This window comes from Homo sapiens, chromosome 1 (genome assembly GCF_000001405.40).
Source record: "Homo sapiens chromosome 1, GRCh38.p14 Primary Assembly".
Lineage (NCBI taxonomy): Eukaryota > Metazoa > Chordata > Mammalia > Primates > Hominidae > Homo > Homo sapiens.
This window is the reverse complement of record NC_000001.11, coordinates 76,781,238-76,798,142: the sequence shown is the minus strand read 5'-3', so window position 1 is coordinate 76,798,142 and position 16,905 is coordinate 76,781,238.

The window sequence follows — 16,905 nt, the reverse complement described above, 5'->3', positions numbered from 1 at the left end:
TAAAGTGGGGAAAGAAAGCGCCTCAAATAATTATTTGGGGATTAAAATAAGGTGCTGCATAACAAGCACTTATGCCAATGCTTGGCACATAGTGAATACTCAGTAAGTAGTGGCTTTAAATAATACCTACAAAAAGATATCCTAGGCTCTGGACTAGTTGCTAGGTACCTATCTTGGATTTCCCTTCAGGAAGTCAGTGAGTATTCTGCTGATTCACTGTGTCAGGACAAATTGTGTGATCAGCATGTGAAAATTATAATAAACATAAAATTTATCCATTTACTCAGTACCTACTTTGTGTCCGCCTATGCTAAATGTGTTGCATATCTTGGCGCTAATTTTCACAGTTATCCTACAAGTGGGTATTCTTAGCCCCTGTTTTACAGATAAGGAAGATGAGGATCAGAGAGTAAAGGGCTTTTCTAAGATTAGTCAGTTAATGAGTAGTGGTCTAGGTCTAGGTCTGTCTGACTCCAAATCACGCTCTCTAGTTTTCCCTTCTGGTAACTGCAAGGAAATTTATCTTATCACTGAATACATGCCCCTTCTTTGGTGTTAGTAGAAATGCTGCTTCCAAATTTTCCCTCCACTAATAATCACATGTTACAGCTCTGGTAGTATCATTTTCTCTTTGTTTTAGTCTTTTAAAAGTCAACTTTTATTTTAAGTTCCGCTGCACAAGTGCAGGATGTTCAGGTTTGTTACCCAGGTAAATGAGTGCCATGGTGATTTGCTGCACGGATGAACCCATCACCCTGGTATTAAGCCCAGCATCCACTAGCTATTCTTCCTGATGTTCTCCACCCCCAACAGGCCCTAGTGTGTGTTGTTCCCCCCATATGTCCATGTGTTCTCATCGTTCAGCTCCCACTTATAAGTGAGAACATGTGATGTTTGGTTTTCTGTTCTTGTGTTAGTTTGCAGAGGATGACAACTTCCAGCTCCATCCATGTCCCTGCAAAGGATGCGATCTTATTCCTTTTTATGGCTGCATAGTATGCCGTTGTGTATATGTGCCACATTTTCTTTATTTTATTTTATTATTATTATACTTTAAGTTTTAGGGTACATGTGCACAATGTGTAGGTTAGTTACATATGTATACATGTGCCATGCTGGTGTGCTGCACCCATTAACTCGTCATTTAGCATTAGGTATATCTCCTAATGCTATCCCTCCCCCCTCCCCCCACCCCACAACAGTCCCCAGAGTGTGATGTTCCCCTTCCTGTGTCCATGTGTTCTCATTGTTCAATTCCCACCTATGAGTGAGAACATGCGGTGTTTGGTTTTTTTGTCCTTGCAATAGTTTGCTGAGAATGATGGTTTCCAGCTTCATCCACGTCCCTACAAAGGACATGAACTCATCATTTTTTAGGCTGCATATTATTCCATGTTGTATATGTGCCACATTTTCTTAATCCAGTCTATCATTGTTGGACATTTGGGTTGGTTCCAAGTCTTTGCTATTGTGAATAGTGCTGCAATAAACATACATGTGCATGTGTCCTTATAGCAGCATGATTTATAGTCCTTTGGGTATATACCCAGTAATGGGATGGCTGGGTCAAATGGTATTTCTAGTTCTAGATCCCTGAGGAATCGCCACACTGACTTCCACAATGGTTGAACTAGTTTACAGTCCCACCAACAGTGTAAAAGTGTTCCTATTTCTCCACATCCTCTCTAGCACCTGTTGTTTCCTGACTTTTTAATGATTGCCATTCTAACTGGTGTGAGATGGTATCTCATTGTGGTTTTGATTTGCATTTCTCTGATGGCCAGTGAGCATTTTTTCATGTGTTTTTTGGCTGCATAAATGTCTTCTTTTGAGAAGTGTCTGTTCATGTCCTTTGCCCACATTTTGATGGGGTTGTTTGTTTTTTTCTTGTAAATTTGTTTGAGTTCTTTGTAGATTCTGGATATTAGCCCTTTGTCAGATGAGTAGGTTGTGAAAACTTTCTCCCATTTTGTAGGTTGCCTGTTCACTCTGATGGTAGTTTCTTTATCAGTCTATCATTGATGGGCATTTGGGTTGATTTCCTATTCTTTGCTGTTGTGAATTGTGCTGCAATGAACATATGTGTGCATGTATCTTTATAATAGAATGATTTATATTCCTTTGGGTATACACACAGAAATGCGATTGCTGGGTCAAATGGTATTTCTGCTTCTAGATCTTTGAGGAATAACCATTAAATTTGTTGAATTTGCCAAAAATTCAGGCCACTTTTTGATAGCTTTATTGTTTTCTCTGACAATATGTTTGTAGTATACATACTTACTAAAACAAATGCAAAAAAGCATAATGATGGAAATAAAAAACTCCCCGATTCTCATCTTCCAGGCCATTCTTAATAATTTGATTTACATTTTTTTCTGCACCTTTATTTTTTATTGTTTGACTTTTGTATAACTTATTTTACCTTGTCTGGGAACACGTCATTCTAGCAATATAAAGCAACATAGAAGGAACTGCTCAAGCCTTTTCATCTTAATTTTCTAACTCGCTGATCAGTTTGCATTTTAAACACACGTAGTTGGTCACCACCTAGATAGGAAGTCAAATGGAAGTGGAATTCTTACCTTGAATGCAAACACGAATTCCCTTCAGACCCTGAGGGTCTTTGGAACTCCTCTTTCCTCCTAAAAATATGCTTGTTTTATCTGAGCCCTGGTTACAGAAAGATCACTTATCATAGACAAAATGTTAAAGTTGCTTGATTAGTCTTGATTATCTCTTTAATCTCGTTGGCCATCTTCTAAAATGTTAATAGTAAATTAGATGAATTAGAGCCAACTGAATTGTCAAACTCTATTGTTTTCAGGAAACACAGCTACTCATAGACCTTAGTCTTATGAAGCTATATATGTTCTAGCTATACAAGGGGCTTACATAAATCTTTAAGAAAATGAACAACGTCCAATAGAAAAACAGGCCAAGGATACATAAACATATTTTCTAAAAGAAGAAATATAAACTGTAAATATAATATTCTCATTGACTCTCAGTAATAAATGAAAAAAGAAGACTATTACTACTCTTTGGAATATTAAAAGATTTCTAAATTGCTAATATTTAAAGTGAGATTAACTCATGCTGGCAGTGGAAAGGAATTTTGAAATTTGTATTGGAAGCCTTAATTTTCACATCCTTTGATGCAAAAATCCCCTTACAGAATCTGGCCTAAGGAAATAATGACACATATAGACAAGATTTAGCAACAAAAATGTTTATTATCGTGCTATATAATAAAAGGAAACAAGAAAAACATCTTAAAATTAGGGCTAGGGTTAAGTAGGGTATGTGTATCTGTATAATTAAATACTATGCTGTCTATTCAAATTGTGTCTGTGAAAAATTTTTAATGACATGGTAAAATAATACCACTATATCTTATAAAAAAGATGCAAAATTGTATATTTAGGCTGTTAACAGCTGTGTGAAGAGATTCATATAATACTGGAAGCAAAATGTCTGATCAAAACTTAACAGAGGTTATTTCTAGTGGCACCATTATTGGTTGATTTTTAATGGACAGCTTTCTGCTTCTTATAATATCTCAGCTTTCAAATCCTCAATAGAAAAATAGTGAAATGTTGGCCTGGTGTGGTGGCGCACACCTGTAATCCCAGCACTTTGGGAGGCTGAGGCAGGCATGTCACTCGAGCCCAGGAGTTCGAGACCAGCCTGGGCAACATGGTGAAACCCCATTTCTAAAAAAATACAAAAATTAGCTGGGCTTGGTGGTGTGCATCTGTAGTCCCAGCACTCAGGAAGTTGAGGCAGGAAGATCATTTGAGCCCGGGAGGTCGAGGCTGCAGTGAGCCATGATTGTGCTCCTGCACCCTGGCTTAGGCAAGAGAGTGAGACCCCAACTCAAAGAAAAAAAACTAATATTTTTTAAAGCAATATACCAGAGCATTCTTCTTAATATCTGTCACCACTTAATAAGTAACTTTGGTCATGTTGAATATCTTGGAAAAACTGTTCTGATTTTGTTTCCTCCCTTTCCTAATTTAAGATGGGGACTGGAGTAGCTGGGCATCAGTTAGCCTGACATTTATAGTCCTCAGAGTCCCTACTCCTCCTGCCCTTGGCAGTGTTTCCCAAATTCTGTTTGCTCTCTTGTTATTTCCCTCAGGACTTGGGTCCTCTTAAGACTGTAAGGAGCTATGCACTTTCCCTCTTGCTACTCTCCTAAGTAGAAGGAGTAGACCATGCGTTTACCTGGAGGAAACCAATCCCCTCCCACAGCTGCAAATCAAAGTAATTGGCTAGAGTTAGTCAGAAATACAGGAGGGCACATTCCTCAGAAATAAGAAAATGATGAGTTGTTTCTGTCTGTACTCATCTTTCTACCCCTTTGTTCTTTGCCTCTCACATTACATCCTTGATGACTTATAGGTTTCTGAGATGTGGAGAGTTGAATAAAGTCTTAGTTTTATCTGGTTCAGATCAGAACACTATATTTATTATAGAAATACTGAAGACATTAATAATCAAGACGAATTGTGTTTTGAGTGGTTGTTATCACAAGACACCTAATAAAATATGAAATTCCTGAGACTGCCAGCCAAACTGAAACACAAGGATGCTGCCAGTGTGGTGCTGTGCAAACTGGTTATGCTAGATACTTCCCTTCATTATTTGGTATTTTATGTTGATGATGGGGAGCAGTACCGCCCTTCATTCATTCTCCCAGCCTAGATAATAAGGATAAAAAATACCAAACAACAATATTTTTCACAAAGTCCTCTCACATGCTCTGTGTCATTTAAGAGGGGAAGACAGCATGGTCAAGTAGGAGGAATTCAGACTTAGGGTTCATTCAGACAGACCTGGATTTATGTCCCACCTTTTCCTGTCACATACTGCTTTTGGGACCTGCCTGTAGATTTGGAAATAATGCCTACTTTGCAAGTTTGCCATCAAAATTATCAATTATACATACAACTACCTGGCTTGATCATTCTTTTATTCACTATTCAAAAGGTGCTATGCTTGTTCAACCTCAGTGATCAAAGAAATATGAATTAAAACAATATATGGTACAGAAGGGACCTAATACTATTCCTTTTTACATAGAACTTACAGTTTAGTGGATGTAGGTAGGCATCCACCAAATAGTGACAAATACATTTAAAATTGCCACTGTGATTAATGCTATAAAGGATGGTTTTCTGAGCCTAGTTAAGTAGGAAGTTGTGCTAAAGCTGAGATCTGAAGGATGTGTGAGAGTTCCCTAGGAAAAGAGAGGAAGGAAGAATATTCTAGAAGAGAAAATGACATGTGCAAGGGCTGGGAGTGTGACAAGAATGTGGACAGATAGAAAGCAAGGGGCAGTGTGGGAAAGGAGGGCAAGGGCCAGGCTGTGCAGGAACTTCATGAATTTGTCTGTATCCCACAAGCAATGTGAAGCCATTGGAGGATTTTAACCAGTTAGAAACATGATCTTATTTCATGTTAAAAATTGTGGCAAAATTATAAAATCTAGATATGAGGAGGTCCAGAGAAGATGCAATTATATCAGTTAAGAAACTAATTCAGTAGTTCAGGTGAGAGATCATGGTAGCTTTGATTAGAATGATGATGATGATGATGATGATGGAAATGTAGAAAAGTGTCTAAAATCCAGAGATACAGTATTTAGGAGGCAAAATAGAACTTGGTTGTGGAATAAATGTGTACACTGAGAGGGATGTCTACAAAGCCTCCCAAATTTCTGGATTTCTGGATTACATAACCCAAAGCCATAAAAACAATGCTGAATGGCAAAAATCAGGAGTTCCTTGTCGAAGTGTGGGGTATCTTTGGGATATCCAAGAGGAGAGTTCAATAGGTAGTTGGCACATAGTGAGCTTTTAATAAAATGCCATGTATTCATAATAATATATAAACAATTTATATTCATAACAATACAAGAAACTGCCTATACACTGGCCCATAGGTTAGTACTTTCTATACTGCTCAGGGTCCTTAGTTGTAGACAAGTGAATCTACTCTAGCTATTTGTAGCAGGACAGTATTTATTACAGAAAATTAATTGCCTCAAATAACGTATGATAGAGCTAGAGGACTACCTTTGGATACTTTATAGCAATAAACATCACAGTTACAGGCAACACACTCAGCAAGAATGCCTAAGCACACCCACCCCTGGACTGTTTAGACCCTGTTAAGCTTAAGGTTGAGACCCCAGAACTTGGGAGCGCCAGGAGGACCAGATATGTCTGTCAGTTGCTTGCCACAGAAGCTGATATCCCTATAAGTATGGATATGCCACTATACATTGCTCACTTTTGTATCCAAAATTTGGATGACTCTGCATGTGAGGTGTAAACCAGATAATGTGCCAAAGGAATCTAGTTCAGGAAGGTAAGTTAGAAGGGTGGGTTTTGAGTGAGCCAACTTATAGTCATTTGCTAGGCCTCCTCTTCAGTGCTTTTACATTCTAGCACATTTCTCTTCCCATGATTAAACTTAGAAACAACAGTCTGCTTCCGCCTAACAGGGTACAACCATCCCTCACACAAGCAAACCACACTTACTCTCCCTTTGAGTGATGGAAAGTGGTGAACAGGGCAGAGATAGCGTGTTGCCTATCAAATATTCATTTTTCTCTTGTTCCTTACTAAGCCTAATTTTGCTGGGCTGGGTAACAGATCCAGTTTTTTTAAAAAATTCAACATTTTCCAGGTTATCTTGCAGATAAGCGTGGCCATGTGACATAGCTTTGGGTAGACAAATGTGAGTAAAAATTGTTGGGTGGAATTCTGGGAAAGAAAAGTCTTTTCAAAGCAGGGGCTGCAGGGGATAGACGGAGGCTGACATGTTCCGTCTTTGCCCTTAAAGCTTTCCGCTTCTTTCTGCCTGAAATGTGAATGTGCTGGCGGATGCTTTATCTTCCCACCCCATGAGAGAAAGGCCCAAGCAATCAAAGAAGTCTCAGCCCTGACAAGCCACTCCAAGCCTGGATTGTCTCTTCTAGGTTTCCGCTCACATGAGAGGAGAGCAAACTTCCAGCTTTCTAAAACCATTCTTCTCTGAGATTTTCTATTACAAGCAACCAAATCCAAATTCCTAACCAATAGATCTTCTGATTGGGCTCTCATATTCCCTCTTGCCTCTTCAAATCCACTTTCTATGCCATAGACATAAATGATTATATGATTTTCTTATTCAAAGTCCTTCAATAATTTCCTACTACTCGTAGAAATAATTGCACAATCTATAGCCTGGCCCAAAAGTCACAGCATCCTCCGCCTACCTCTTTAACCTCATCTGGAGGGGCTTGCCTCTCCTTCACCAGGCTCTGGTCATGCCAGCCTTCCTGACAAAGGGCCCTCTCAAATGCCTCCCCTCAGCAGGCAATGATCTTACACTCTCCTCACCTCCCATACCCCCATTATGTCTTAGTTTTCATCACTTCACCATATGGACCTACTCTGACTCCATAATCTAAATTAGACCTCCCCTGTTAATCTCTTTGGGTGCATCATGTTATTTTTCTTCCATTACTTGTATCCCAAATTGTATTTATATAAAAGTTGATTTCTTTACTGTTTCCCTCCTTAAATCACGAATTCCATGAGGACAAGGTCTTTGTCTGCTGCATGGTTGATAGTTATGCTAAGTACAGATCCCTGCACAGAGTAAATGTTTAATAAATATTGGTTGAAAGTCAAATGAATTAGTTCATCAGACTCTGCCAGTTGCAGACATGTTTGAGTAATCAAATCTTATATATGTTTATAGACACAGAGTCAAATGGAGTCACAGGCTTTTGTTGTGGTAAAGGACCTTAGTAATTAACAGCCAAACACAGAGCTGGAGAAGATTGGAGAGAGAAGTTTTTCAAGGGTCACAGCATTCCCTTGCCTCAAATCCTAAAAAGTTCTAGAATACAGACAACATGTATTCACTCAGCCATTTAGCAAACATTTATTGAGCATTTATTATATGCCAGGCACTATGCTGGAAGAGAGGAATTGGAGAAGAAAGACATACCCTGCCTTTGAAGAGCACATTCTTAGGTGTATATGGAGAGGAATGTCTCTGCAGAAGTAGCTGTAGCATCCTTTGGGACCACAAAATCAGGACACCTAATCCAGCCTAGGATCCTAGGTATAAGTGAAGGATTTAAGGATAGGTGACATGTATGTGTAGTCTTGAAAATAAATAGGAGTTCCACAGGCTGATGAGTGTGAGGGTAGGCATTTCATTTGGAAGGAACAGCACATACAAAGACACAGATATCTGAAACAGAAAGGCCATAGCAAAGCGGGGACATGTGTGGGAGATGAAGGCAACTCCTGACATTTCCTTAGGACTTGGCTCACCCATGACCCCATTGGAGGACTCTCTAGATCTGGTTTGCCATTCTTCTCCCTATTATAGAATGCAACATGCTGTATTATGATTGTTCATTTAGTTTTCTGTCTTCTGCACTACACCTCACATAAAGGTAAGTAATAAATACGTGCTAAATGATATTTGAGTCTGGGCAAGAAACAGATCATGTAAGGCATGAACATCTAGCAATGTAACTACATTTTTATTTTTGATCAATTATTATGGTCTTGGGAATTAGGAGAGGGCTGATTTGGAGGGGTTAAAAATGAAGACAGGGAAAGCTATAGAAGGGCATTGAAATAGAGGGACTATATTGAAGATCCACTTTATACTTAAAGTAAAATCTCTTCTGGTAAATGCCTTAAAACATAATTATCATTTTAAAAAAACTTGAGGTGGGCAAATATATCCCAACTTTATCCTATGTATATTATAGAATGAGAACCCAAAGCTTTATAAGGTATTTCTTTAATATGATTTTATGGCAAAACAAATAGTATTATCTTCTCCTATTTGATTCTTCTTTGATTCCTAGCCCATCTTCCCTCTTTCTCTTCTCTTCATCAGCAAACTTCTTGAGAAGAAGCCATCTCCTTTCCCAAATCAGTCATTTCTCAAACAAAAGCAAAAACATGCTTTCACTACTTTCCTACAAATTCTCACATTATCTGAATGGTTCATGTTGTTGACAGCTCATTATCATCTGAAGTCATGTTTTTTTTTCTAAAATGTAAATCATGTTTGTTTTCTTTCCATCCCCAGCATTATCCCCACTCAACAGTTGACCAACTGTACTGAACTGCCTTTTAAATGTTAAAATTCCCTTCCCTTCTCTTGTCTTCTCAGTCTACATAGAACAATGTCATTGTCATTCACCTCCCAAGGTTCAAGTATAATGAATACATCTGACTTTCAAATTAATATTACCTACCCTACATTTCTTTCAGACGGATGTCTCATAGATCCCTCAAACTCAATATATCCAAACGTGAATGCATTATCTCCCCCACAAAGTCTATTCTTCTCCTATATTGCTGATCTCAGTTAATGAAATCATCATACTTTCATTTAGCCAAGGTATAGTCCTCAGAGTAATTCTTGACTTCTCTTTCCTTGTATCATATACTCCTCTGAATCCACTTCATCACCAAGTCTGATTAATTTTATCTATAAAATAACTTTTGAATTGTGTTGTGATGAACAGAAAAGTGATGCTGGAAGCTCACCCTCATTTCATTTTTTTCTTTAGAGACAGAGTCTGGCTCTGTCACCCAAGCCAGAGTGCAGCGATGCTAACATAGCTCAGTTCAGTCTCAAACTTATGGACACAAACAATGCTTCTGCTTTAGCCTCCAGAGTAGCTGGAACTAGAGGCATGTGCCACCATACCTGGCTATTTTATTTTATTTTTAGAGATGGGGTCTCACTTTGTTGCCCAGGCTGGTCTGTAACTACTGACTTCAAGTGATCCTCCTGCTTCAGCCTCCCAAAATGCTGAGATAACAGGCATGAATCCCTGCGCCTGGCCTTACCTTCATTGACCAATGAGCCAGCAGTAACTAGGGTCTCTTCTTCCAGAGAGAAAGGCTGCACCCAAGCTCTACTTCCCATGGGTCAAGAGATTTCCTCCCGGCAGCAGGGTCAACTGCAATATCTCATGGGCCTAAATTCTAAAGAGGCAACATTCTTAGTTAATTCCTAAATTGCTGGCATCTCAAATTCAGACAGTCTTGTACCAGGCAGCCTGTGTATTCCTCCAATGGCAAGGCTATTTTCTCAAGCTGATCCTATAGAAAGAGAGACCCACGGCTGAGTGGAGATCTCCTTTCCACTGGCACAGAGACTAAAAATGCCTGTCTGGTAGAAAATATTTCACAGCATAACCATCTCTGGAATAATACTGAGATCCAGAGACCCTGACCTTTTCTTGGTGTCTTGATTCAGCCTGTTAGTTACCCTCTTCCTCATGCAGGAAGCCTGTTCCTTAACCCTTGCCATGTGCCCTTGTGGAATATATCTCAAATCATGGTACATAAAAGGAAGGGAGCCATAGGGACCTACCTGGCATGCTACATTTCAAGCCCCTCCTCTACCACCCTAAAACAACCTCTTTTGCTAAACTTCTCGTTACCTCTCGACTGGCTTCCTGGAAGAGCGTCCTAGTGGGACTCCTGCCTCCGATCTTGCCTCTGCCCATCCTAACCTTCATATGATGGCTGAGGGTAAATTTAAAATAAAAACCTGGGCCGGGCACAGTGGCTCACGCCTGTAATCCCAGCACTTCGGGAAGCCGAGGCGGGCGGATCACGAGGTCAGGAGATTGAGACCATGCTGGCCAACATGGTGAAACCCGGTCTCTACTAAAAAAAAAAAAATACAAAAAAATTAGCCAGGCGTGGTGGCGGATGCCTGTAGTCCTAGCTACTCGGGAGGCTGAGGCAGGAGAATGGCGTGAACCCGGGAGGCGGAGCTTGCAGTGACCTGGGATGGCGCCCCTGTACTCCAGCCTGGGCAACAGAGCGAGAGTCTGTCTCAAAATAAATAAATAAATTAATTAATTAAAAAAATAAAAACCTGATTACCTACTCCCCTTTTAAAATCTTCTAGTAGTAACATAGGTACTAAGACAATGTCTCTCTTTTAAAGGAAAAAAAAATTCTTTCAAACTCCCAGCATTGACTGAAATTATTTATTGTAATATTAATAAAGTCTACAGACACATAAGACTAGATATAATGATTTCTTTTCCTCATGGATAATATACAAATCTAAATCCAAAAACAGATAATTAAATATAAAAAGATAAAAATCAATAAAATTCTAATTATGTGAAAGATTAATAGCACAAAGCTAAAGCTAAATCTTTCTATATTCCATGTTCTATCTTTAATCTATTTCTGTATCTTAAATTTAAAAGTACTGAAGAGGGCAATGCTGTTTACTGAAGAATGTTGTTCATAATGACATTAAGTAGCATCACAGTTTTGGTTACTGTTTGAGGGTATTCAGACCACCCACTTACCCTAATTCGGCCTGTGGAGTAATCAACAAATGCCAATTTTAATGAGCCGTTCCCTTGATCCCTATGAATCTGTCTTGTTGACTTAAAGATAAGGTTATCATTATGGCATATTTAAATCTGCATTAAACAATTACCTAATCCAATTATTACTGGATTAGTGAACAGGAAAATAATATTTGAAGTTACTTTTGGTTTCTTATAGTTGTTGAAAAAATATTCATAGCCCCAGCACAGAGCCAGTGGAAAGACATCAGTAAATACTGGAAGTGACTCATTCAGACCATTTTGAAGTGGCTTAGCCATAAATCAAATTTTCTACCATTGTTTCCATTTTTGTCTGAAATTTAGAAGAAAGTCTATTTAAACTACAGCAAAAGCCTCCTTTATACAGTGTCCTATGATGTAATTTGGCCTTTACTTGGCATAAACAAAGCATTTGCTTAATAAATCTGTCTCTGTTCATTTGTTATAAGCTGGAAACTCTTAAGGGGATGGGGCATACTCCTCTCTGCAATATTATTATAATGATTTCACATGAGTTTCAATTTATTGTCTACCTTAAGAAACAAAAGTCATATTTTAGGAAAATGTATTTTATTCCAATTATCAATCAGAAAGAACAGTTTTGTCATTATAACTGGTAAAATAATTCAACATGAATACAGTGAATTCATTGTGGGACAGTTGTCATTTTGTCACTTGATGTGCCGATCTAACCCCATACAATCAAATACACTTACTAGCACATTCTCAAAGTTGAAAACTCACTTTAGGTCAGGCTTGCAAACTGGTGGTGCAGTATTTTGTTTGGACTGCATGGAGTTATTAGTTTTAAAATCATGTTTGAATACTTTAAAAAATGAGGAAGATAATCTCTAATATACCATGGGCTCTATCACTCTTGAGAGTTTTATAGTTAGTGTATGATCATTTATTTATAAAATGGAACCCATTGAGTATTTAATTCCCATACTGTATCCAAGGTGACTATAATGTAACCATGGGCACTAAGCATGGTTGTTATTAAATGATCCAGAAAACATATGTATTCATTTTAGGATTTTTGTTTTTGTTTCATTTTGCTTAAATTCTCATCAAACTAAGTGGGAAAAAAAACTTTTCTGAGAGAACCTATGCATCCCAAAAGTGTGCCCTCACTTTCTCTGCCTCAAGGGTCCATGGACTTCAGTTTGAGAAATATTGGCCTATAGGATAAAATCCAAATTCCTTAAAGGAATATCCATTCCATTTACACGTCATCTTAATTTTTCAGCAGACCTTTCTTCCTCCCCATCATATAATCTGTCCTCCAGCCACATGCATTGCTTCCTTTTCCTTACCATTCCATGACTTACCATGTCTTAGTGACTACACATATTTTCTTCCTTCTGCCCGCAATGCCCATTCTGCCTGATTAGTGTGACAAACTCCTGCTTATCCCTCAAGACTCTTTGTGACCCAGTTGAAGTGTCATCCCCTTGGTGAAGGATTTTCAAACTTTCAGTGACAGAATTGGTTGCTTCCTGCTCTATGTTCTCATAGCACTATTTTTAAAAAACATTTCATTGTAGCACGAATCCCTTGGCATTGTAATGAACTCTTTGTGAATTACTCAGTAAGTCCTCTATCCTATTTCTTTCTTTAAGAGATTGGGGAGCTACCTCATCACCATTCTTCTGAGGACCAGACTTTTTCAGGGAAAGTATATATAAGAAGAATAAATAAGGGAAAATAAAGGTAAATGTTAAATGAATAAAGTTTGTGATAAAGGGATCCAAGTCTCTTCCAAACACCATGAAAGAGCATAGAATTTGCACCTGTAAGCCTTGAGTTTAATTTCCCATTTCTGGAAATCATCTGCTGTTATCTTTTCAAATACTGCTTCCATTCCATTCTTTTTCCCCTCTCCTTCTGGTAATCTACTTTAAATATGTGTTAGAAAGTCTCATAGTATCTTCTATATACTTTACCTTTTCTTTTTTATACTCTGTATTTTGTTGTTTTTTTTTTTTGTGCTACATTTGCTAGAATATCTTCTGAACTATTTTCCAGCTCATCAATTCTCTCTTCAGCTGGGTCTAACATGGTTAAATATAGTAATTTAGTTCTTAATTTCAGTTTTTGCAATTTAAGTTTTAGTAGCTTTGTAGAAGTTCCTCTTCAAATCTGCTGTGTAAATTCTTAATTTTCCTATTTCTTATAGATATTTTAAGCATGCCTTTTATTCTTTAAACATGGTAAGCAAAATGTGTTATTTCATTGTTTATGTCTGATAACTTGAGGATATCAAGTGTTTGTGAGTACAGAAAATACCCTTGTTGCCTCACCCCTATTTCCTCAGACCTTACCATTTGAGTGTATGCTGGCCCAGTGCCAGCCTCTGCATCTCTTTGTTTGGAGGCTTTCTATGGTGGTCTAAACCCATAGGTCAGAAGTATTACACAACTAACGTTGGCTGGGAGAAGCTTTTCCTCTGCTGTCTTGACCCTAAGGTGAATAACTCTGAAGCTCGTGTCTTCGCTGGATCCCAGAGGTCCCATAGCAGGACTGAGCTCCAATCTCCCATAGCAGTAACTATCTGGATGTATGCTTTTTATTGGCTGCCTTCCCTTCCACGTGTCACTTCTCCACTCCTTTATAGGTTCCCACCACTCAAACCCTTGACTCAGTCATTCCAACATTAAGATGTTGTGTTTCTGTTGTCTGTTTTTTCTGCTTGTCTTGCTTATGGTATCATGTTTCCTGGCTCTCTGGTTGTATTTCTGTACCGGACATTATATTTAAAAATATTTACATAAATAACTGGAGGCCTAGGATAAAGCTACTTTTCTCCAATGAAGATTTTTGTTGGCCTCTTCCAAGGGCTTGGTGGGTAATCCTAATCTTGGATAACATTCATCAGAGTATATTCTTTGAAGTTCCCTGGACCTCCTACTTGCTATGAACCTGGGCTGCAAGTTCAGCACGTGTTGTTTTATTTCTGGTTTACTCCTGAGACTGTAGCCCTTTGGAGGTCTCAACTTAATGTGCAGGGGTTGTCAGACTCCCCCAGCCTGGGAAACTCCTGGGATTTTATTTTTTCCTCCTCATCTTTTAAGGCCACCAGAACCACAACTTGGTTTTGAAGTTATTTCTTCCAAATAGGTAACCATGCTGAGACAAATGCTGCTTTGAGTGCTACGCTTACTTTCCGGATCCTCAGCTCCTCCTAGATTGTGGCTGAGTCATTCTTGAGATGCTGTGAACTTTTAGGTACTTTAAAAAAGGTGCTTTTTATACTTCAATCCTTCCCTTTGTTGTCTTCATTGAGAGGGTTGATTAAAATTACCTAGAACACCATCATTGTAAAAAATTTATAGGTAATGACCTTACTACAAAACTCCTGTGAGTCTTAAGACTGATCATCCCTAGGATGTGATAGTGCAAGGCACATGGTTGGTGCTCAAAAATGTTTGCTGTTGAAAAAATCTGTAGTATAAGAATGGAAACATTTAACCTAAACAGCTGTATTAAGGAAAAAAATATGAGATAATCCATGCAAAAGCACAAATTCACAGTGTCTCTGGAGAGGTCCAGAGTGGTTTAATGACCTGTTCAACTCCCAAAGCCAAGTGTGGGAAGAGGCAGAAATGCAAATCAGGATTCCTGATTCCAACTCCATGTGTCTATAAAAAATGATACTCCAAAGGATAACCATGTTGCAATCTTAGAAAGGCAAATCTTCCTGGAAGTGATGGAGCTCATTGCTAATAGCCTCCTGTCAGGACAAAGCTGTTTCGGTGCAACATGACTGCTTCCAAGGATCTTTCTGGTTGCACATAAATTGACTGTCTCAACTTACAGTCTGGTGATACTGCATTGCACAATTCAGTGAAGCAACAAACCAAATAAATGTAACATGCATAGTACTGTTACAAAAGGAAAAAAAATGGAAAATAACCTGAGAGAAAGGCAATTTTTTTCTGTCCACTGTATCTGCCTTTAAATTGAGTCTAGATTTGTGTTGAACCTGGCTGGGACTACATAGTGGAAGGTGATAAGAGGCTAGCTATTGTATTTTGAACCTTAGTCTATTCATCTTGAGCATCATTCATTAAGATTGGCTTTGCAAACATCCGCTAAGTTCAGTTCAGTTCGCCTCAAAAAGCATTTACCACAAACATGCCATGTGCACTGTGCTGGGGACTCAATGGTCAGGAATATTAGTAACACACACACAATCTTCCTTCAAAGAAACTAGAGTCTGATGGGCATAGTGAGACAAAGGAATGTAATTATCATATACCAAAGCACTTCACATTTGTGTCCCCAAGGAATTATTTGTTTTTGGATTCAGGGTTGGGGGCATTTCTTCAATTGAACTCTCCAATAATTTTGTTCACAGATTACATGTTAGATCTTCAATCCAATGAAAGTTAACACCAGAGTAGACATTGATCTCTGTATTAGCCTTAATCTGGACTCAAATGGAGGTAACTACGGACTCACCTAATATTTCTGATAGCACATGTGTTTCCTTCAGCTGTGTGTCCTTTGGTCGTGAGTCCATTCTGTTTTCCTGGACCTGAATTTCTCCAACTGCCAGAAGACAAGAATGTTCTTAGTTGAAAATTCAGCCTAAAGAGAAGCTGAAGATGATGCAAATCTTCTGAGAAATCTGTTTCTCACCAAATTATTCATTCACTTTACAAATTCAAAAGCTGGGATAAGTTTCAGGGGAAAAAAAAGAAATCTGATTAGATAAGCTTCCAGCTTCCATGCTTTCTAGCTTTTGGGCACTAATTCATTCTGAACTGATTCAGCTTTCACCATCTAATATTTCCACCCATCTCCAAAGGGTATAAAAAATAGACAGTTTCTTGATTTACTGGGCAGGTAATGGTGGGGAACGTGCCTCTCTCTCTCTCTCTCTGTGTGTGTGTGTGTGTGAGAGAGAGAGAGAGAGAGAGACAGAGAGAGAGAGGGAGAGAGAAGGTGGGGTGGTGGTTTATGGAAAAGAGTGGGAATAAAACATACATTGAACAAAAATAATGCATATCCAAAGTGGATCTGGCATTTGACACTGAACAGGATGAATTTTCTGCATAGTGTTTGATATAAAAGGGAAAAAAGAGGGAGGGGAATGGTGCTGTGTCAGCATATAGATTGCAAATGAAATAAAAATGGTGTTTGAAACTAAGAAGGGGAAATGGGAACCAGTTTAAAACACTCTGATAGAAAAGGAGAAAGCAGGTATATTTATTTAGATGGAAAAAAATAAACATGAATTCCAATACTCTGGTAGAGAAAGAGAAAGCAGGTACAGTTATTTAAATGTACAAAATAAATTTAAATCAGAAAAGGAAGGAAGGGAGAAAGAGATGGTTGGAGAGAGGGAAAGGAAGCCGGGGATTGGGGAGAGGAGAGAACAGAGAGTAATTCTAGAAGGTGTTGATCTATTCCTTAAAACATTGTGAAAATACGAAGTTGGTGTCCTTTGAGAACTGCTTCCCTTGCCTGCCTTTTGTTGTAAAGCTTTTTCTTCTATG